This window comes from Homo sapiens, chromosome 5 (assembly GCF_000001405.40).
Source record: "Homo sapiens chromosome 5, GRCh38.p14 Primary Assembly".
Lineage (NCBI taxonomy): Eukaryota > Metazoa > Chordata > Mammalia > Primates > Hominidae > Homo > Homo sapiens.
This window is the reverse complement of record NC_000005.10, coordinates 143574673-143597591: the sequence shown is the minus strand read 5'-3', so window position 1 is coordinate 143597591 and position 22919 is coordinate 143574673. Positions and strand designations below refer to the sequence as shown.

Genomic DNA, 22919 nt, shown 5'->3' with positions numbered 1-22919 from the left:
GGACCCCGAGCATGTGTTTGATCCATTGGCTAGAGAAGAAACTTCTTTTGATCAAATCCTGCCACCCCACACCAGCTGTGTGACCTTGGGCAAGTTATAGCACCTCTAAGCGCCTTCATTTTCACATCGGTAAAATGTGTATAATAGTAACACCCATCTCATTAATGTATTGTGAGGATTAAAGAGAAAATAATTGTATGGCAATTTGAACTGTGCCTAGAAGGTAGTCCACACTAAATAAGTATTAACTACTATCATTATTAGAAGTAATATAATAATATTGTCTTAAAACCAGAGATCTGAATCTAATAAAAATTAAGAAAATATTAAATAGAATAAAACTATGCATATAATAAATACTAAATAGAATAAAATTGGAAAGATAGTAAAGAGGATATCAATACGTGGAAATACTCCAGGCTGATAACCAAGATGAATTTCATACCAGATTGCTAATGTGTCTGCCCATTCACCTACAAGATCTGCTGAAACGGCTCTCCTAAAAATGTCCCCATATCTCTTCATGGTCATCCTGAGTTGGAATTCCCAGAGTCAGAGAGACAAGAGTCTATTTTGGCTTTTCCCTGAAACTTAATCGAGTGTAGCTGGTGTTTTAGACATTGTATCCTGATATTTTAGCTCTTATTGAAGTTATTTAGGGTTTTTAGGAAGGGTCTTGGATTCTCCTCTTTTGCTAATTTTTGATGTATTATTATTAAATGATTGTAACCATCATTAGAATTCTATGTATTTATGTGTAAATTTAAAATATTTGTAACTTTAGTATTTAGAACTACTTTAAAACAAAACCATGTACAAGCCTATCCATATTCTTTCAGTTTCATTGTGGCTGGATACTATGTTGCCTTGAATTTTACCTGTTACTTGCCCAGCTTCTGGATTTCCAGTATCAGAACATTAGAGGTTCATATTTTCCATACAAAAATAGAAAAAGTCATAATGGCGTGAAAGTCCCTGGGAGATTCACCCTTTCTTCTAGTGTGGTGTCTCAGCAAGTTCCCAGGCATATCACAGGATGGGAAGGATGGGGAAATACTCACCTAGGGCACTTACAAGGAGATAAGAATGGGAGGGCAGAGGGAGTTGGTCACCACGCTTGAACAAAGGGAGAAAAATATGTACACCTCTCATGAGTCATCAGTGAAAGTATCCAGCATGCTCAGGGGGCCTCCTGAACTTTGAAACTTGGATTTAATCCAGACATGAAATATGGAAAGTCACTCTTTATGCAATGCTTTCATCACCACCTCCGTTTTGCCTCTCTTTCATCTCAGTTAAGAGATACAAGACAGGTTCTTGTAATGACTGCCTGTGATTGCCATGCTAACAAAACTATTTACATGGAAATTAGGAATCCCATGTAGAATTCCAGAATCAAAGGTCCTGTGGATATGGTAATCAAGAAAATGTCTTTATATCCACATTATTGTGCCCATATGGTTATGATGCCATCTGGGTGCTAATTCTAATGCTATTCTTTCATGAGATGTTTAATAGTGCTCAATATTATTGACTGTTTAGTAGGCAGTAGAATTAGAGTTCCAATTATATGAGGTCATAGCACTGGCTACATGAGTGACCAGAAAGATGACTTACAGGGATTCCAGAAAACACACACACACACACACACACACACACACACACGCGTACACATGCACGTACACATACATGTATGCACTCATCAGGTAACTCTTTAAAAATTACTTAAATTCCTGATGAAGAGGCTACCACTTCTAAACTAATAAATGTCATGTGGACAGATATCTCCTTAGTAGCTGGGCTCATGCCATCCCTGCCCAGAAAAGGGGGCTAGAATCCCACAGAAAAAGCAGAAGATTATGCCCTCTTAGGAACTATAGTCCATCCTCCCAAGGTTTTTTTCCCCTTTAAGCAAATCCTCCTCACAAAAGAAAGATATGTTTATTTGTATTTTCAGTTAAGTTGACTATTTATTCACATTTCCTGCTGATGAGTCATTTATGCAGTTTACTGAAAAAAATAAATTGGTCACTAAAGCACTGCAAAATTAGGGTTCAAAGACGCAAAACTGACGTAAGCATCAAATAGGTACAGGTTAAGAATTTAATCAGCAAATAGATCAGTCAGCACGCTAGGACAGTACTCACACAAAGACTGGGTTTTGTTTAATTCTTTTCCAAGGGATCAGCACAGCCAGCCTGTCTGGAGCACCTCTGTTGGTTTTGCTCATCAGATACTTGTAAACAGAGCAAACACAGATATTTGATCAAGAAACCAAACCCCACATGCCTGGAATCAAGTGTGAGAAAATATCTTGGGCTTACTCCCATGATGCCTGTGTAAAAGTCGCACCGTTTGTCTGTAAATAAAAGGCCTGAGTTTAGCAGAAGATCATAGGAAAATGCAGCAAATGCACCATGTTTACAATGTGCAAAGGCAGAGAGAAGCATCAGTTCTCAGCATGAGATTGTTGGTTATGCCTGTGGGGGAGCAGATGGGAGATCACTATTGATCTCTAAAGTAGCTGGGTCAGCCAGACATGTTGGCTCATGCCTGTAATCCCAATAATTCAGGAGGCCAAGGTGAGAGGACTGCTTGATCCCAGGAGTTCAAGATTACAGTCAGCTGTGATTGCACCACTGCACTCCAGCCTGGGCAACAAAGCGAAATGTGGTCTTTTTTAAAATAAACAAATAAAATGTAAAAGTGGCTGGGCCTGTGCTCCATATACAGACTCATTTGCCCTCTTCTCAAGAACTCATCTGCTTTTAAAACTGGAGGATGATTGTTATTTTTATTTCTTCTTCTGGATACATTTTTAACCAACGTTAGAAAAATCAACCAGAGAGACAAATATCCATATACATACAGTAGCTTCACTAAAATATCTAGGATGGTCGAAACTGTCACCAAGGAGCCTTAGAAATGGATATTAATAACATGTACTTACCATGTGCTAGGCACCACATATATTACCTGTGTTAATTAATCCTCAGAACCATGGAAGAGTTACCATTATTATTCTCAACTCATGGATGAAGAAAATGAGACATAGCTTTGCCAACATTCACAGCAAATAAAGGGTGGCCCATCTTGACTCCAAGTTCAAGGTCTTAGCCACTACTTTGCTGACGCCCATTGAAGATGAATCAAGCACACCTGCACCATATCCAGCTGGTTGTATTATATCCAGTCCTTCTTATTTTGCAAAGAACCAATTCTCCAAATTAAAAGTCTCTTAATATCACCCTAAATCTACAATCCATAAAACACACCTTTGATTTGTCATATACATTTTCTTTAATGAACAAAGACAAAACTTTGAAATTTTGTTCAATTGTTTGAAACAATGACCTCCACATGTTGCCTAACCTAACAGATGAAGTGAAACAATCATTTTATAGCTCCAGTTCTTTATCTGCTATTACAGCCTCCAGCGTTTAACAAACTGTCACAATGTAAATCCCACAAGGTTCTCTAGAGCTCACACAGTTCTGTGTCCACCAAGCACTGAGCCATGTTTATTGTATATGTTCACGCTTGTATCAGGTGCTGCAGGTGTGTTGGCTCCCCTAAAGGGAACAGACATTCCGGCTCCGTTCTTTTTCTCCTTTTACAAAAACTATTTTCAACTACCCCCTCCATCCACCTGCCCCTACAACCTCATTCTTCTCAAATTTGCATGCTTCAACAAGTGCGATACTGTTGAACTGCAGTAAAAGTTTCACTGTTTCCCAAGGCAGGTGGTGCCTATAACTTCACCAAGGCCTGAGAAAAAAAGGATCGCTTTAAAAGTCAGGCGCTGGGTTGTCTCCCTTTCCTTGTTGTCTGCTTGGGCATTCCCTGGTACCCCACTGTCTATAAAGGATGACTAGTGCTGAAAGATAGGAGAATGACCCACATTAGCCTTTATTTTCTAAAGCTAAGTTTAAAGTACTTGCAATAGATAATCAAAAGAACTGGGAATTTAACTCTGAGCATAGCAATTTTCACCTGATTTTCTTTGCCTTCCAGAAAAGTGCCTGAAAACAGGAGGTATGCAATAAGTAATTGCTGAATAAATAAATGAATGATGCATGGGTAAATGAATGAAAATGATCTTCTCTCCATTCTATTCCTCTTTGGGTGGCCAACTTCGCTGTAAACTTCAAGTCTTAACTTAAAGATCACTTCATCCCAAAAGGCTTTTTGTAACTGCCCCACCACCACCAAATTAGATGAGTTCCTCCATTCTTTGCGTTTTCTTTCATTATGCTAATCCCTGTAATAATTCATATAACGGTTATTTTAAGTACTTATTTATTGCCACTCTCCCTTCTAGAACATAAGCTCCCTGATGGAAATGATGGGGTCTGCTGTGTTCCCTGCTCTACCCAGCATCCAGCAAGTGCCTACCATCAATTACGCACTTGGTAAATATTGTTGAATAAATGACAGAAGTTGCTATACAACAAAGATTTAATCTAGAAAGCTCTGTGGACTTGGATAGACCCAGTCCAGAGAGCAGCATGTGTCCTCATGGTGCATGAAATACACCAAAAAGTTTTAAAATCTCTTGCAGGGGCTCTTGTTCCTGACCTTTTCTTTTCTTTTTTTTTTTTTTTTTTTTTTTTTTTTTTTGCTGGACTGCCTGACAGAGGTTTCTGTTTTCCTCATGCCCTGGATGTCCACACAGCTGCACACCGAGCACAGACTTATTCATAGGCAGCTTCCTGTCACGTGAGGGGCTCCAGATTTAGTTTTCTGCCACAGCCAACAGACTCAAAGGGCCCATGCCCACCTCTGCTGGTCCACAGGTTCAAACGCTGCTGCCTGCGCAGTTGAGCCCTGGCCCCTCAGTTGCCCTCTCCCACTGTGGGAAGGAGACAGATGGGTTCTCCACATGCCTGCTGCTACTGGGAATGGGGTGAAGAAGAAGGCTACTGGCCTGGCTGTAAGAGGGCTTTCTGCGAGGGAATCTGGCTGGGACAGGAGCCCAGTGGGCTGGTGGGGAGCCTGACTGGTGGGGGGCACTTAAAGAGTTCATTCCTGGGTTGACATTAAAAGGAGCACCCCATAGTTCCAGTTCTATTTCCCTCACCATCCACTAATACCCAGCTTCCTCCATGCAGGGGATGGGTAAACTGTGTCACTGGTATTTAGGAACTAATCTAATCACATCAAGCCAGAGAGCCCTAACTCTATACTCACTTTCTCATCTGGGTAAGCCCCTTAACACCCCTAAGCCTCAGTTTCCTCACTGTGAAATGGCAATAATGCCTACCTGTTTGTGCTATGATAGGAATCCAGGATTCATAAATAATAATAATAAACAACAATGTGTGAGCACTTACTATGTGCCAGACATTGTGTGATAAACTCGAGATGTGTTTAATCCTCACAACTTGCTTCTGAGGGAGCACCTCTTATTATTCCCATTTTTATAGATGAGGGAACTGAGGCTGCAGAGAAGTTGTGCACCTGCCCAAGGTCACCTGGCTGGAACATGATGACGGAATCTGTATGACTTTCCATTACTGCAGAGGTTCTGAGCTTGGACTCTGAAGTCCAACGGTGTAGTTTACAATCCAGCTGCACAGCATACTGGGTGACCTTCCTCTGTTCACGCACTCATTTGCCAGCCTGGCCAAGCAGCTCTGTGAAAGGGATCGTCCAGGAGGCATTCTGCTCACCTTGATGGTTGCCCGGCCAAGGGACTGGGTTGTAATTTATGGGGAGCTCCATTCATTGGGAATACAGCCACATTCACAGTTCTTTCATTACGCACCTTCCCAAATTATAAAGGCAGTGTTCTAAGTTAGGCTTTTAATGCGGTTCACTGTTTCCCCATATCTCAGGTTGATCATCTTCCAGACATAAGTAAGTCCTCATGGTGGACTGAAGATAAGTAGCTGAATATACATTTATTTATTTATTTATTTATTTATTTATTTATTTATTTATTTTTGAGATAGAGTCTTGCTGGCTGCATTCCCAGGCTGGAATGCAGTGAGGCGATCTCAGCTCACTGCAACCTCTGCCTCCTGAGTTCAAGTGATTCTTCTGCCTCAGCCTCCCAAATAGCTGGGATTACAGGAACCCACCACCACGCCCCTAATTTTTGTATTTTTAGTAGAGACAGGGTTTCACCACTTTGGCCAGGCTGATCTCGAGCTCCTGACCTCAGGTGATCCACCAACCTCAGCCTCCCAAAGTGCTGGGATTACAGGCACGAGCCACTGCACCCGGCTGAATATACTTTTTATAACTGCCCTGGTTATTTGGTTTTTCTAGAGAGGACCAAGAAGTAGGTGGGGCTTGCTGCTGCCTGCAGAACTGTCCACTTCTCACTGCCATGACAGGAGAATAGGAGGGTGATATGGTTTGGCTGTGTGCCCACCCAAATCTCATCTTGAATTGTAGCTCCAATTCTCACATGTTGTGGGAGGGACAAGGTGGGAGATAATTGAATCATGGCCGAGGGTCTTTCCCAGGCTGTTCTTACGATAGTGAATAAGTCTCAGGAGATCTGATGATTTTATGATGGGGAGTTTCCCTGCACAAGCTTTCTCTCTTTCCTGCCGCTATGTAAGATGTGTCTTTTACCTTCTGCCATGATTGTGAGGCCTCCCCACCTACATGGAACTGTGAGTACAATAAAAACTTATTTTTCCTTATAAATTACCCAGTCTCAGGTGTGTCTTTATCAGCAACATGAGAACAGACTGATTCAGAGGGCTATGAAGTAAAATTGCCCATAAGAATCAGACCAGGCTGGGCGCAGTGGCTCACGCCTGTAATCCCAACAGTTTGTGAGGCCGAGGCGGGCAGATTACTTCAGGTCAGGAGTTTGAGACCAGCCTGGTCAACATGGGGAGACCCCATCTCCACTAAAAATACAAAAACTAGCAGGGCATGGTTGTGCACACCTGTAATCCCAGCTACTTGGGGGACTGAGGCAAGAAAATCGCTTGAACCCTGGAGGCAGAGGTTGCAGTGAGCCGAAATGGTGCCATTGCACTCCAGCCTGGGTGACAGGTGAGACCCAGTCTGAAATAATAATAATAATAATAATAATAATCAGACCAAATAGTTAATGCTTGCCTGAGTATCTTCTTGGTAAATTGTCTGAAGTCCAATTTCACCTGGAATTACCAGTTTATAAAAATTTGCTTTCAGAAAGAAGATAGTAACTTTGTGGGACAGATGTATAAATTAGCTTGTATGAGTGATTATTTCACAATGTATACAAATATCAAGTAATATACCTAAAATATATGTAATTTTTATTAGTCCATTTTATCTCAATGAAGCTGAAAAATAAAAAGAAAAAATTGGCTCACGCCTGTAATCCCAACACTTTGGGAGGCCAAGGTGGGTGGATCCTGAGGTCAGGAGTTCAAGACCAGCCTGGCCAAGATGGTGAAACCCCATCTCTACTAAAAATAGAAAACTTAGCCAGGCATGGTTGCGGGTGCCTGTAGTCCCAGATACTCAAGAGGCTGAGGCAGGAGAATTGCTTGAACCCAGGAGGCAGAGGTTGCAGTGAGCTTAGATCACGCCACTGCACTCCAGCCTGGGTGACAGAGCGAGACTCGATCTCAAAAAAAAAAAAAATTTTTTTTCAATTAAAAAAGTTTGCTTTTAGTATTACCAGATATTTTGAAGCCATGGATATACTGCAGGAAACAGAGTCCCACGAGGTTGTCCCAAGCTATGCCAACCCTGCTCACCTGAAAACCAAACTGCCCTTTAACCTAAGACCAAGGCATTTCTCAAGCCAGAAGAGAGGCCTTGGTTGAATTTATAAAGGCAAATGAAAAGGAAAGCTTTGGACCAAATGATAATTTCAGGATGATTCTACTTTTAAATCAAATGCAAAAAACATGTTTTTCTTCAATATGTTTACAACAATACAGGAACTATATGGCTGGCACTGTGCTAGGTGCTTCACAAGTCACATTTAAGTTTTACAGGAAGCAACTGAATTAGAGAATATTCTTCTCATTTGCAGATAATGAAAGTAAAGCCCTGACAGGTCCAGGAACTAGCTCACCATCATAGAGCCTTTGAGAGACAGACAGGACTCAGATCTAGCTCTGTCAGACTCCAAAGTCCCGTTTTCCTGTATGCCTTCCTGAAAACTGGATTGATGTTATCTCTTGAGCTGAGAAGTCCTTCATTCCTGCCAAGAAATGGCTTCAAAGATTATTTGAACAAGGAGAAGCCGACAATTTAATAACAGGAGAGCACTGTGCACATTTTTGGTTATGTCTATACAAGAAGGGATGGCTACTGGTGGAAAAGGGAACATTTCAGTCTAATAATTGGGTTTATTATCTGCATGACAACAAGTATAACTGGTTTGGCTGATGTTGTCGATGAGCCGTATGGGGGAGGAAGAGACCCAGTTTGGTAGTTGAAGCAGCTAGTTAAATTGACCAAACTTTTCTCTTTTCACATTGTCACTGTGGTACCATTTGCGCAGAGCAAAGAAGCTCAGCTTGGAGGTGTCACGCATTTGCATGAGCATTGCTGTGTGTCTAACTCATTTCCTAGAACCTTAGGTATGATTTAGAAAAATCAAGTTTGAGGTCTTTTCCCTTTGGGGAACTTTCAGAATGTTGAAGGCCATTTTTTTAACTTTCATTTTAAGTTCTAGGGTACATGCGCAGGTTTGTTGCATAGGTAAACTTGTGGTATGGGGGTTTGTTGTACAGGTTATTTCATCACCTAGGTATTAAGCCTAGTGCGCATTAGTTATTTTTCCTGATCCTCTTCCTCCTCCCACCCTCCACTCTCCAATAGGCCCAAGCGTGTGTTGTTCCCCTCTATGTGTCCATGTGTTCTTATCAGTTAGCTCCCACTTACAAGCGAGAACATGCAGCGCTTAGTTTTCTGATCCTGTGTTAGTTTGCTAAGGATAGTGGCTTCCTGCTCAATCCATGTTCTTGCAAAGGACGTGATCACATTCTTTTTTGTGCTGGCATAGTATTTTATGGTGTATATGTACCACATTTTTTTCTCCAGTCTACCATTGATGGGCATTTAAGTTGATTCCATGTCTTTGCTATTGTGAATAATGTTACAGTGAACATACGCATGCATGCATCTTTATAATAGAATGATTTATATTCCTTTGGGTATTGTATTAGTCCGTTCTCATGCTGCTATAAAGAACTGCCCAAGACTGTGTAATTTATAAAGAAAAGAAGTTTAATTGACTCATGGTTCTGCAGGGCTGAGGGGGAGTGAAGGGGGAAGCCCCTTATAAAACCATCAGATTTCCTGAGAACTTACCAGCATCACGAGAATAGCATGGAGGAAACTGCCCCCATGATTCAATTACCTTGCACTGGATTCCCTCCTACCACACATGGGGATTATGAGAACTGTAATTCAAGATGAGATTTGGGTGGGGACACAGCCAAACCATATCAGCTATATATCCAGTAATGGGATTGCTGGGTCAAATGGTATTTCTGTCTTTAGTTTATGAGGAATTGCCACACTGTCTTCCTCAATGGTTGAACTAATTTACGTTCCCACCACAGCATATAAGCATTAAAGGCCATTTTTATGCAGCTTATGCCCATGGTAGCATTTCAGATGCCATAGGAATTGAAAATGTTTTTATGTTTAGCCTGAGTGATACAAGAATGTATATTCAGGAAAAATGCCAGTGATATAGCAACATATACAAGTTAATATCCCTTTTACCCATCCCATTCCCCACTCCCAACCTTATTCCCCTCCCTAGAAATAGCTGCTTTTATCAGCTTAGTGCACATCCCTCAGTGCTTTTTTTCCATATATTTAGATAGATAGATAGACAGACAGACAGACAGACGGACAGACAGACAGACAGATAGATGGATGTATATGTATGTGTGTAGAATTTTTTTAAATCATAGTTGACATCAGACTATATCAATTATTTGCAGCATTCTTTTTTCCTTAACAATCCCTTTCTTTTCAGTATATAGAGCTCTATAATATTGTTTTAAACTGTTGCATGGCATTCCATAGTATACCATAACTTATTTAGCCATTCCCCTATAATTAGATATTTATATTATTTAGTTTTTTACTGTTACAAACAATGTTATAATCAACTTACTTGTACATTTATCCTTGTATATTCTTCTGACTGTATCTGAGGGAATATTCCTAGAAATAGAATTGCAGAGTCCAAGGATGTGTATTTTTATGTCTATTTTTAATTTTGACAGAAAAATCTGCCAACTTACCCCCCACCCCCAGAAGAAAAGGATAATTTCCTCTCTAAACTACAGTATATAAAAGAAAATGTGAAAATTTTGCAACACCATCTCCTCAAACCACTGCAGGAAAGTATTTCTTTCCATCTAAAATATTATTCTTGGTATCAGAACTTCCTGATAGCTGATAAACTCTGGCGCCTGGCTCTCTGGAGGCATTTGGTGAGCTCCCTCCACCCCACCTTAACTGGAAGGGTATTGACACTCCCCTGCCAGGGAACTGCAGCTGGACTCAGGCTCCCACAGTTCTGGGTTCTTCATAACACTCATCTTTCCATATTATAACTTATCTATTCATGTTTGACTCCTTTATTAGGGAATAAGCTCCTCAGGCAGACACCATGTTTACTCATCTCTATTCCCAACACATACCTCAGTGTATGACACCTGTTAGTGTTCTTTGTACCACTGTTTGAATGAATGGCAAGAGGGAGGGAGGGAAGAGGAGTAGGGAAAAAAGGTAGGCTGGTTTCCTGACAAAACTGTGAGGGTCCCAAACCCTGTGAGACTTGGTCAAACTTTGTGTGAAGTAGACAGATTCAAGATTACTAGTCCTGCCAGACTCTAGAAACCCAAGCATCTGGAACCAAAGAGGAACATATTTTGTTTCTAAGACATTACTCAACCACATACCTGATATGGGTGACACTGCCCATCTCCAGTCTCTGAACTGCAAGACAAAATACAGGACTTTTGAGACAGAAATGACACATTTTGAATTTTCCAAAGGCACGTCAATTTTTTCTTTTTCTTCAACTGTCTTAGATAATAACAAAGCTGTGTTTGGAAAGATGAAAATGAAGGATGTTTCTGGTTTGTTTCCAGCCTTAAGTCTTTCCCAGGACCTGTCCTTTTAGAGCTCAAACGACTTCGTACCACCACACTGTCTTCTTTCCCACTTAATTTTCCAGACATCCTGCAGGCTGCCTGCCCACTCCATCCTGCCTTAACTTGCTTTTCTACTCAAAGGAACCCCCTGAAGGGACTCCTGTGCTCATTATTTAAACAGCTGGAAAATTGCTTTGCCTTTTCTCTGCCTACATGTGGCATTCAGGACTTGCAGGATATGCTTTATCATTGAGTCTTGCACTGACTCAGGCAATTTCCAGGAAATATTTAACATTTCCTGAATGCAGTCAAGTTCAAGGAACTGTCTAGAACCACTCAGGCTGAACTTGCACAGTCTATATCTAAAGCCACCAGCATTAGTGATCTCAGTATGAGGGAGATCTATACATAAATGTCAGCATCCACATACAAGATAAAGGAAGGGAAAAAAAAAGAAAGAAAGTGAACAGGGAGGGAAGGAGGAAAAACAATCTTAAAAGAAAGACACAAACACTGTAGTTGAAGACATGGCAAAAGATGCTATGTCTTATTTGAATCAACAAAGTGATAGATTCTTAGGGACTACCTTCTCTATAGGCCCCTTTAACATGCTGGTTTAAATACACTACGGATTCACACAAACTAGCTGCCTATATGCCTGGAACACTTGTTTTTCTGTCAGTGATCAAATACTTATTGAATTTACCATTGGCTTCAATACTCCGGGCTTCTGAGATTTTTGTAATACATCAGCAGCATCAGACATGAGCTTCATTAGTTACTCCAGCAATCTTAGCATTTCTCATCCAAACCTTCCTACCACCTTCCAGACATCCTGAAAGCTGCCTACCCACTCCAACCTGCCTTAACTTGCTTTCCCAGGGGCCTCTTATTCTAGCAGTACCTCTACCATTACAGTTTCTGAATTTATAGCTTTATGATTGGAAACCCTCTTGAATAACTCTATATATTTTAGAACCAATTAAGAAATATAAGTATTTCCTTACCTGGGGTTTACTTTTGCTGTTTTCTGTCTCCTTGGCTGCATTCCAAAACTACTACCAACCTAACCCAAGGACATCTTTCTAAATGCTGTCACTCACTTTCTGATTTTAATATTATCATTATTATTATTTACTTCATTTGTCAGTAACTTATTTGAATTTCCTCTAACCCAGAGGTTCTTAGCCACAGTGTTGAAAAGTCATTTATATGGATCAGTGCTATTGGTGGCAAGTTCCCAAAACCCAGTTCAAACTGAATTAAACAATAAAGAGAAGGTACTGTGCATCTGACAAAGGACTAATATTCAGAATCTACAAGGAACTCGAACAAATCAGCAAAATACATATCTTTATTTATTGGTAGATTTTATACCAATAATGTCCCTTGCCCACTTGTCAAGTACTGGAACAAATAATCCCATCCACAAGTGGGTAAAGGACATGAATAGGCAATTCTCAAAATAAGATATACAAATGGCCAATAAACATGAAAAAACGCTCAATATCACTAATTATCAGAGAAATGAAAATTAAAAGCACAATGTGATATCACCTTACTCCTGCAAGAATGGCCATAATTTAAAAATAAAAAAATAATAGATGTTGGCTTGGATGTGGTAAAAAGGGAACACTTTTACACTGCTGGTGGGAATGTGAACTAGTACAACCACTATGGAAAAGAGTATGGAGATTCCTTAAAGAACTAAAAGTAGAACTACCATTCAATCCAGCAATCCCACTACTGAGTATCTACCCAAAGGAAAAGAAGTCATTATATGAAAAAGATACTTGAACATGCATGTTTATAGCAGCAAAATTTGCAACTGCAAAAATTTGGAATCTGCCTAAATGCCCATCAACCAATGAGTGGATAAAGAAAATGTGGTGTATACATATACTATGGAATACTACTCAGCCATAAAAAGGAATGAAATAATGTCATTTTCAGCAACCTGGATGAAGTTGGAGACCATTATTCTAAGTAAAGTAACTCAGGAATGGCAAACCAAATATCATATGTTCTCACCTATAAATGGGAGCTAAGCTATGAGGATGCAAAGACATAAGAATGATATAATGAACTTTGGGGACTTGGCAGGGGAAGGATGGGAGGGGGTTGAGGGATAAAAGACAACGCATTGGGTACAGTGTACACGGTTCAGGTGACACGTGCACCAAAATCTCAGAAATCACCACTAAAGAACTTATCCATGTAACCCAAAACACCTATTCCCCAAAACCTATTGAAATAATTTTTTTAAATAAGAATAATAGAGAATTATTAGCTCCTATAACTAAAATACACCAATAAATATAGGTTTGTGTGTGTTATATGGACTTTAGATACAGTTTTGTTTGGCTCTAGCTCCTTTGATCTGCAATTCTCTTTGTTCTGCTACTTTGTCTCATGCTGACTTCACACATGGTAGCAAAATGGCAGCAGCACTTCTAGGTTTCACATCCACACTGTACCACATCTAGGAGAAAGATCTTCTCTTCCCCACAGACCTCTTCTCAACCAACAGTCAAACCACAGTCCTGGTTTTCCCTCCAGGAAATCATAGGTCAAATGCCTTCCCCTGAATCTAAAAGAATGGACAACTGGTTTGCTTAAGTTCATCAACGCCTACTCCTAGAGCCAGGAATGGGTCACTATCACCCTTACCCCATGACTGCTACTCATTGGGGAAGGTGGGAAATAGAGACAGGGAGTTCAGCCACAACATGTGCAACAGGGGAACATAGGGAAAGAGGAGGATTTGTAGTTCCTGAGCTCAGAACTATATACAATCTGCAGAGTATTTAATCAGTGAGTGCCACAGTCCAGAAGTGTCCATATTAGTAATGCAAGTGGGTTGAACATATGAAATATTATCTATCAGGTATGACTCAAAAGATGGAGAACCTCTGCTCTAAGGCATAAGCTACTCAAACCAGGAAGTGTGTTATCTTTGTTGCTGTGGCATGTGGTGAACGTGAACTGAATTTACTTCCAGTCTCCTGGACCACCTGACTGTCCCCTCTATTCTTCCTCTTTCTGTTAATATCCTGATGTTTACCCTCCTCTTTCCTACACCTGGTTTTCATCTCCTTAAAGTCTGGAATAAGGGAAAGGCAAGATCACCACCCCTTTTCTGGAGAATATAATTTTTAGAAAAAAAGACCACGAAAGCTTGAACATGTGATCAAGTGAAGTAACTTAATAGAGTCGAATAGGGAATGATATGTTTCCTGTGTGAACATCAAGAAAAGGCATCCATCCATGGACTTAAATGTCATTTGCCTGTGGAGAAATGTGGGGCAGACCTAGAGCTGCATAAGGCTTTGGTGCCGTTGTATTTCATAAAGTAAAGAGCTTTATTTAGACTGAGCACGTGTCATTTGTCACATGAAGAGGTGAGACTCTGGCCCACTATTATAGGATATGCATTTCCTTTATTATTCACTGAGAGATGACGAGTCAACGCTGAGCTGCAGATGCTCTTTCTCAATCCGCCTTGAGACAGGCACTTGCAAGAGATCTGTTTGTATAGTCTAGGGTATAATCTCTGGTCATGGATCAGGATTTCTTCTACTCAAAGGAAACTGACCTAAACTGGACTGGGTTAAGATGTTTAGAAACCATAAGCATTGACAGTTGATGGTGCTCTCCTCTCTGTAATTGAAAACAATGCTTACCTGTAAAACACAAAATGTATGTGCATACAGAAATGAAAGTAATTTCACTCTGGCTTTACAGGTGGCAAATTTCTGAATATGTTTAATTAACTGAATTATTCTCTCCTCTCCCTCCCTGCATCTCTCTTTAGAGCCCCTGTTTTGCTGGTGGGACTTTAAGTGCATACCTGTTCTGTATTATTAATAATTCAGCCCCAGGTTTGTAAGGCAATAAGCTGCTTTGTCCAGTGAGCTTCGCTATTCCAACCTGCTGATTGAACTTATTTGCCATTAAAAAAAAAAAAAAAAAAAAAAAACAGAAAGCCTTAGGGTAACTTGGTGCTAGCAAAACCAACGTTGAGGTCAACTAAAGAATCCAGCCTCCCAGATATTGAAAGCTCCAGCTGCTGCAATGACCACAGGATGAGAGAATTACCTTTCTTTGACCAGGAAATGTAAGAGCTACTTAAGAGTTCGTTTCCCTCAGCCCCCCTGATGGGCAGTACTCCTATACCGTGTTCTGATCTAAAGCCAATTCTTCCTCTTATGTGCACTTGACCCAATTCCCTTTAGCCAATCAAAGACAACACTTCAGCATTCTGCCTCCTTCTCCTACATTATCAGAACTTTCCCCTCTTTCCCGGATCATTCTTATCAGCAAATAAGCATGATGCTATTTCTCCTATCTTAAATAACAATAATAAAAAGCTCCACATCCTCCACAGCTACTCCCCATTTCACTGCTCTCCTTCACAATACTAAGAGCTGCACTCAGAGACTCCAGTTCCTCCCCTCCCATGATATCTTCAGCCCAGTCCAGCCAGATTTCCCCCACTCCCCCTCCCCAGCAAAAATGCTCTGGTAAGGGTCACCTGTGCCTCCAGATTACTAAACTCAATGGTCACTTCTCACTTTGACTTCGATTCGTAGGACAGCATTCCCTCTTGGTTTTCCTCCTCCCTCCCTCACTCTCCTCCCAGTCTCCTTTGCTGTTCCTCCTCTTCTCCCCTGCAAAGCTGGAGTGCCCCAGCAGCTCCATCAGTCTTCATTTTACTCCACTGGTGACCTCATTCATCTCATGAATTTAATCCTATGTTGACAACTGCAAGGATTCTATCTCCAGCCCAGACCTCTCTCCTGGACCCCAGACTCATAACCAATGGCAAACCTAACACCTCCACTTGAATGTCTAATAAATGTTTTAAAACTCAGTATATCCAGATGAACTCTTATTTTTTTCCCTCCCCTCATTCCCATCCTTATGAAACCTGTTATACCTTTACCTTAGTCCTTGCCATCTCAGCGAATGGAACCCGAAACTTCTCTTTTGCTCAAGACTCTAACCAATCTATCAGCATATCCATATCTTGAAAACAGAGCCAGAGTCCAGCCTCTCCAGTAATTACTACCTGATGCAGACCTCACCAGGATTACAGGCCAACCTGCTTCCACTCTTGCCCCTGTAGCCTGTTCTCAACACAACAGCCACGCCAATCTACATAAAACATGAGCAGATCATGGAACTCCAATGACTCACTCAGGGTAAAAGCCAAGGTCCACATAATTTGACTCTCATTACTCTCTGACTCCTCTCCTTCTGTGTTCCCCTCTTTCATTACCCTGCAGCCACCCTGACCTTCTTGCTCCCCCTCAAGCAGACCAGGCATGTTCCTACCTTGAGGCCTTTGCACTGGATATCCTTTGGCCTGGATTATTGCCTTTGGCTGGAATATTCCCCTTGCCTGGAATATTCCCCAGATATCTGCATGACAACCCTTACCTGCTGCAAATCTTCGCTTAAATGTCAGCTTCTCAATGAATCCTACCTGAGAACCCCACTTAAAACTGAAATCTGCTCTCCCTCCACCACTGGTGATCTTTATCCTGTTCTATTTTTTCCAAAGCATTTACCACTTTCTAACTTATTATATAATTACTAATTCGTAATACGTGTTGCTTATTGTCAGTCTCCCAGCAGCCTCTAGAATGTAAGCCCTTGTGGGTTTTTTTTTTTTTCTTTTGGTCTGTTTTATTCACTTTATACCCCAGGCGCCTAATGCGGTGCCTGGTAATTCCTAGGTGCTCAATAAATACTAACTTATTTCTGTGCTATAATAAACTGTTTTCACTTTATAAACCGTGAGTATTTTCTATGATGATTACTTTTATATTTGATTCTACCTACATCCCATAATACATGTATATGTGACATACATAAGACACATGACTTTGTCACTATAATAAGATCCATGCCACTGCCATGGAATTCATATGTATAGATCATAAGATCCATATACAAAAGAGGCATGACTATGTCACTAATATGTGAATAAAAAGATCCATATTTACTCTTCAACTGGAAAGAACTTTCAAACCCTGTCTCTCTAGACTCCCCATAACATCATTCCCATATTAGAGCACTGCAGGAAAATTCACAAGGGATAATGGGAATCAGAACCACACAGTAATCTGGCATCTCTACAAATCTAGAATTTCCAGGCCAGGCATTTTTGCAGTGGTATCGTCATTAAGAGTGTGGGTTCTGGAGTCAGGCTGCCTGATTTTTTATCTTGGAACCAGGATTGACTAGACCTCCATTTTGTCACCTATGACACTGGCCTTATTATCTTAATCATTTTTGTTGTGTTGTTATTATTCCCAAAATAGTTGAATAAGAGGCATGGTAGGGAAAGTAACAGCACCCAAAGGAAGTCTACATCCTATTCCTGGAATCTATGAATATGTTACTTGACATGTCAAAAGGAGTCTTTGCAGATGTGATTGAAGTCACAGTCCTTGAGATGGGAAGATGATCCTGGATTATCGGATTGAGCCCAGTGTAATCACCTAAGCCCTTGCAGGCAGAAGAGGCAGAAGAGTCAGTCAGAAGAGGCAGGAAAGACACGAAGCATGAGAGGGACTCGGCCTACTATTGCTGGCTTTGGAAATGAAGGGGCAATGAGCCAAGGAATACGGGAAGCCCCAGAAAGTGAAGAACAACCCTGACCAGAAAACTAGCAAGAAAACAAGACCAAAGCCTCATATACACATGCAACTGAACTCTGCCAGCAACCTGAATGATCCTGAAAGTAGATTCCCCCTAGACCTTGGGGAGACTGAAGACATGGCTAAGGTAAAGGTATAACAGGTTTCATAGGGATGGGAATGAGGGGAGGGAAAAAAATAAGAGTTCATCTAGATATGTTGAGGTTTGGCTGTGCACCCAAATCTCATCTTGAATTGTAGCTCCCATAATTCCCACGTGTTTTGGGAGGCACCTGGTAGGAGATAATTGAATCATGGGGGCCATTTCCCCCATACTGTTCTCATGGTAGTGAATAAGTCTCACAAGATCTGATGGTTTTATAAGGGGTTCCCCCTTTTGCTTGGCTCTCATTCTGTCTTGCCTGTGGCCATGTAAGACATGTCTTTACTTTCCGCCATGATGGTGAGGCCTCCCCAGGCAGGTGGAACTGTGAGTCCATTAAACCTTTTTCTTTATAAATTACCCAGTCTCAGGTATATCTTTATTAGCAGCATGAGAACAGACTAATACAGCCTACATCTTGATTTTGACCTGTGCACCTCAGAGCAGAGAAAGCAGCCCAGCCTCCTGGACTTCTGGTCTACAGCACTGTGAGATAATAAAATGGGTGTATGCTGATGATGAGGAAAATGAAGGGCTACCAAGTAGCTTTCTATTGTTTATATACCTCACATATTCCTGCAGAAAGGCTTTCAGAAAGTGGGGTGTTGTAAATGGGAACCAACATGTTGACCAGTTCACAAACCCATCAGGAGCATGTCAGTTTCCCCACATCCTCACATAGGTATGGTCAGACTTTTAAAACATTTCCCTGTCTGATATGTCCAAAATTGTTCATTTAATTATACTTTCCTAATTACTAGTTAGGTTGACCATTTTTTCATATCTTTACTGGTCACTTTCCCACTATTGGAAATTGTTTATATCTTTTCTCCATTTTTTTAAATTGGAAGTTTTGTCTTTTCTGGTTCATTTGCAATTCATTATATAATCCATAAACAAATTTCATTGTTGTTACAATAGTTGCAAATATCTTCTCCCAGTTGATTGTTTATTTATTTAATTTCACTTAGGGTGCCATTTTTTAAAAATATAGCAACTGATTTAACATAGTACACGTATCGATCTTTTCTTTTGTGGTGTGTGATTTCTGGGTCTTGTTTGTTTGAGAAATCCTCCCTGCCTTAAGAGGATTCTTAGAGGTGACTTAGAGCCCACCAAGGAAGACGGACAGTACGAAGGGGCCAAACTTATAGACTTTTCTGTTTCTGTGCCACTCATAATAGCACCTTGTTAGATTTTTTTTTCTTTTCTTTTTTTTTTTTTTTTTTTTTTTTTTTTGAGACAGAGTCTTGCTCTGTCGCCCAGGCTGGAGTGCGGTGGCGCAATCTCGGGTCTACCATGCCCAGCTAATTTTTTGTATGTTTAGCAGAGACCAGGTTTCACCATATTGGCCAGACTGGTCTCGAGCTCCTGACCTCGTGATCTGCCCGCCTCAGCCTCCCAAAGTGCTGGAATAACAGGCGTGAGCCACCGCGCCTGGCCTGTTAATTCTTTTATATATCAAACTCCTGTGTAGGCTTTGCATTGAAGAAAAGATTTTGCTGTTGAAACACACACACACACACACGCACAAAGAATGTTACCACATTTGCTAAGATTTCTGTCCACAGAGCCAAAAAGAGAAACATGATGAATTATATTAACTCATAAGAGAAAATAAAGAATAAACATAATATGTCACATGGCTTTTGTTTGCTGGTAAAAGAAGGACTACCAGACTGCTGGGAGAGGAAACCCCTTAGCGCAGTGTCCTAGGCATAGGGGCCATCTTGCAAAAAAGGGACCTAGTGAGCTACAGTAGATTCAGAAGATTCAGAAAGATTCTCAAATGGCCCTGCTTATGGAACTAGAGGGAGATAAGGAGTTCATCTCAGAATACAGGCTTCTTTTAGGGCCCCATTGAAAGTATGCATGTCCTGGCCAGGTCTTAAGTCACAGATCTCCTGTGAGCTTCAGCTAAGAGCTCTGATTGGTGCCTCAGCAGCTGGCAAATCAAAGGATCTGGCTGGGAGAGCAACTCTCCCTTCATCAGGCATTCATCCCAGTTTTGAGCCTCTGCTCTCCTTTCTCCTCTCTCCACTAGGAATGAGAGGGCTTACTATTTAGTGAACTCAAATCCTTCATACTTGGAAGAATGCACATGTTCAGTATCCTACAAAGGTGAAATAAACACACACAAATCATTGCTACCTTGCAGTTTATAAAACCTTTCCTATCTGCAACTTCACATTTGTGAATTTAGTGCCCTTCACAATATGGGGAAGTCTAGCTCATTCTTTATTGTGGTGATGGCTGGATAGCACAAATTAGCTGAAAATTTTTATTTTTAAATGTATATATTTTTTTCAGTGATATGTTTCTATCCCTAACAAAAGTACAGAGGTAAAGGAATACAATAGTTTACTTTATTACTAACATGGCTTTTCCTTTAACTCTTTTGTCCCTCCCCACGTATTTGTATTATTTCCTTCACTTTTCCTTTTTCTTTTTTTTTTCTTTTTTTGGCTTGTATTAAAGTCTCATTTTACAGTCTCTCTGCAAGGGCCCCTTGGTCATACTTCACTTCATTTTTTATGTAACCTGCTTAAGTTTAAAATGATCTGTTTTCTTAAACAGGGTTAGCACACATTATAATATGTTTCCTGGCACTCTGCCACTGCCCTGTCACCCAGCTCTCTGGATTTAAGGCTTGTTTCTTCAAGAATGTGCAGAACTATTCTGAAAAAAGTAAAAGAATTTGAAACTCTTCTTCCAAGAAAGGCATGCAGAGGGATATTTTCATACCTGTACCACACAGAGGATGAGTACAGCATTTCCTTTGGGCAGTGAGAATATTCAAATTAAATAATACTCAGCCAGATTTTTCTACCCCCAATCTAAAGTATGTATCAGCGGAACTTCCACTGTGTGTCAACCCATGAGTTTCCCCAAGAAGTCCTTGTTTCATGGGTCTGGGAATTGAACCAAGTGAAAAAGACTTACTGATTTCTCCCCAGATTGTGAAAGATCTCTAAGTCCAGCTCTAAACAAATGTATAGCCAACACACATAGTCTTAAGTGTTTACTCAGAAAGCCCTACATATTTCATATTTTATGTCTTTTTCCATAGCGTGTGGTTTTTGTTTTTGTTTTTGTTTTTGTTTTGTTTTGTTGAGACAAGTTCTCACTGTTGCCCAGGCTGGAGTGCAGTGGCACAATCATAGCTCACTGCAGCCTCAAACTCCTGGGCTCAAGTGATCCTCCAGCCTCAGCCTCCAAAGTAGCTGGGACAACAGGCACACACCACCATGCCAGGTTAATTTTTTTAATTTTTTGTAGAGATGAGGCCTCATTACATTGCTCAGGCTGGTCTCAAACTCCCAGGTTCAAGCAATTTTCCCACTTCAGCTTCCCAAAGTTCTGGGATTATAGGTGTGAGCCACCACACCCAACCCTTATACACCTTTTAAAGTACCAAGGAAATAGACTCACTCTCTACTTAATTAATATCCTGTAAATATCCTGGTAGGCAGAAAACAGAATTCCATGCATGGAGTCTAACTGAAGAGACTTTAATGAAGGAATTATCAATAGGGTAAATGAAGCCAATGAGGAATGTTGAAGCTTCAGGGGCCAGCAACGGCCAGAAGACATTTCCACCCCTTAAGCTAACAAGAAAGGGGAGGAAAGAGTGTTGTGGGAGCCCTGTGGGAGCTGGAGCTGAGAAGCGAGGGCTGCCTGGCTGGAGCTAGGCTCACAGCTCATGGCCAGATGGCAGTGGAAAGACAGAGAGGGAGTAGGGACAAAACACTCTGGCCCCTCTCTTCCTCCTCTGAATTTCCTGCTTCCATTGGCCAAACCCAGCCAGCAAAGTTGGCAGGTGAAGGAGCCCAGGGAAAGCAGTCCACAGATCAGCCTCCTGAGGCACAGAGAAAGGCAGTGGGGGTGGATGGCCCAGGGAATGGATGCTTGCAGTGGGCGCATGAAAAATAACCAATGCTGGGGTTAAGAGTGAACAGGTCTGAAATTTGCTGAAGATGATCTTTTTAGCCAATCTAATTCTGTTCATGAGATTTTTGGTGTTGGCGGGGGGGTGGTAAATGGCTTAATTTATTGTGAAGAAGCACTCTTGCCTTCTGAGTGAACTGGCCTTGCTAAGAGATATGAGCTGAATCCAATACATGAGAATTCAGTGGACCTCACAGTCATAAAGTTTTTAAGCTGGAAGGAACCTTTTACAAAGCCTCTAACTCAGCCACTGTACTTTAGAGATAGGAAAAAGTAGTCTCATGATGAGTCTTCTTCCTTCCTTCCTTTCATTCATAACAAGACAATATTTGCTTGATTGCCTACTAAGTACTAGGCACTGTTCTGATGATGAGAATGCAACAGTGAACAAAGTAATATTCTGCTCTCATGGAGCTTATGTTCTAGAGAGGCAATAAACATCAACAACAAAAAACATATGCTAGGTAAGAAGGGAATGTGTGCTATTAAAAAAATAAGGCAAAATAAGACAGTAGAGGAGGGCAAGAGATGGAATTTATCCTTTATATGGTAGACATGAAAGACTGCTCTGGTTGGCACATTTGAACAGGGACCTGAAGGAGATAAGGGACTGGCCATGTGAACTTCCAGGGCAAGAACATTCCAGCCTGAAGGGCTGGGAAGCGAAGGGCCCCAAGGGGAGCATGCTTGGTGCTGAGCTCAATGAGAGAGGGTTGGGATGATAGGAGATGAAAGCAGCAGGCAAGCTGTGGGCCAGGCATGAAGAGCCTTGCAGGCTTAGCGGAACACTGCATTTCATTTTCAGGGTGATAGGAAGCCATTGCAGGGTACTGAGCAGAGCAGTGACATGATCTGATGTATATTTTAACAAGATCAGTCTGGCCACTGTGCAAGAATAGACTGAAGGGAGGCCAGGGGAAAAGAAGGGAGACCAGGGAGGAGGCTGTTGGAGTCATCCTGGGGAGGGAGGACAATGGCTGGGGCCAGCATGGAAGTGGTGGCGTAGTGAGAAGCCATCAGATTCTGGATATGTGTGAACATAGAACTGACAAGCTCTGCCAATGGAGGAGCTAG

The 22919-nt window shown here is 41.2% G+C and overlaps 1 long non-coding RNA gene across 1 annotated transcript in view, besides 6 other annotated features; it reads right to left on the bottom strand.

Moving 5' to 3' along the window:
- The window catches only part of LOC105378209 (uncharacterized), a 37122-nt gene that overhangs the window by 843 nt on the left and 13360 nt on the right, over positions 1-22919 (bottom strand). The window contains exons 2-3 of the long non-coding RNA XR_944375.1: positions 10893-10929; positions 10100-10149 (exon numbers count right to left, since the gene is read on the bottom strand). This is a non-coding gene — a long non-coding RNA (uncharacterized LOC105378209). The remainder of the gene's footprint in view (positions 1-10099; positions 10150-10892; positions 10930-22919) is intronic.
- Positions 1094-1388: an enhancer, noted in NCBI's record as "tiled region #10152; HepG2 Activating DNase matched - State 5:Enh". NCBI's record gives its function as "activates a minimal TATA promoter and a strong SV40 promoter by Sharpr-MPRA in HepG2 cells {active_cell/tissue: HepG2}" and the evidence as "EXISTENCE:reporter gene assay evidence [ECO:0000049][PMID:27701403]".
- Positions 1094-2351: a biological region, named in NCBI's record as "P300/CBP strongly-dependent group 1 enhancer GRCh37_chr5:142974806-142976005".
- Positions 1129-1273: an enhancer, noted in NCBI's record as "145 bp enhancer 27 fragment used in the MPRA reporter construct; PK_construct_1637". NCBI's record gives its function as "activates an SV40 promoter by MPRA in HepG2 cells {active_cell/tissue: HepG2}" and the evidence as "EXISTENCE:reporter gene assay evidence [ECO:0000049][PMID:23512712]".
- Positions 1152-2351: an enhancer, noted in NCBI's record as "P300/CBP strongly-dependent group 1 enhancer chr5:142974806-142976005 (GRCh37/hg19 assembly coordinates)". NCBI's record gives its function as "activates an origin of replication core promoter dependent on BRD2, BRD4, P300/CBP, MED14 and CDK7 cofactors, with strong dependence on P300/CBP, by STARR-seq in HCT116 cells {active_cell/tissue: HCT116}" and the evidence as "EXISTENCE:reporter gene assay evidence [ECO:0000049][PMID:35650434]".
- Positions 1194-1207: a transcriptional cis regulatory region, noted in NCBI's record as "HNF4 motif; MPRA enhancer 27 activity is reduced when this motif is scrambled". NCBI's record gives its function as "necessary for full MPRA enhancer 27 activity {active_cell/tissue: HepG2}" and the evidence as "EXISTENCE:site-directed mutagenesis evidence [ECO:0005528][PMID:23512712]".
- Positions 4809-4868: an enhancer, noted in NCBI's record as "active region_23349". NCBI's record gives its function as "activates an Ori minimal core promoter by ATAC-STARR-seq in GM12878 lymphoblastoid cells {active_cell/tissue: GM12878}" and the evidence as "EXISTENCE:reporter gene assay evidence [ECO:0000049][PMID:35858748]".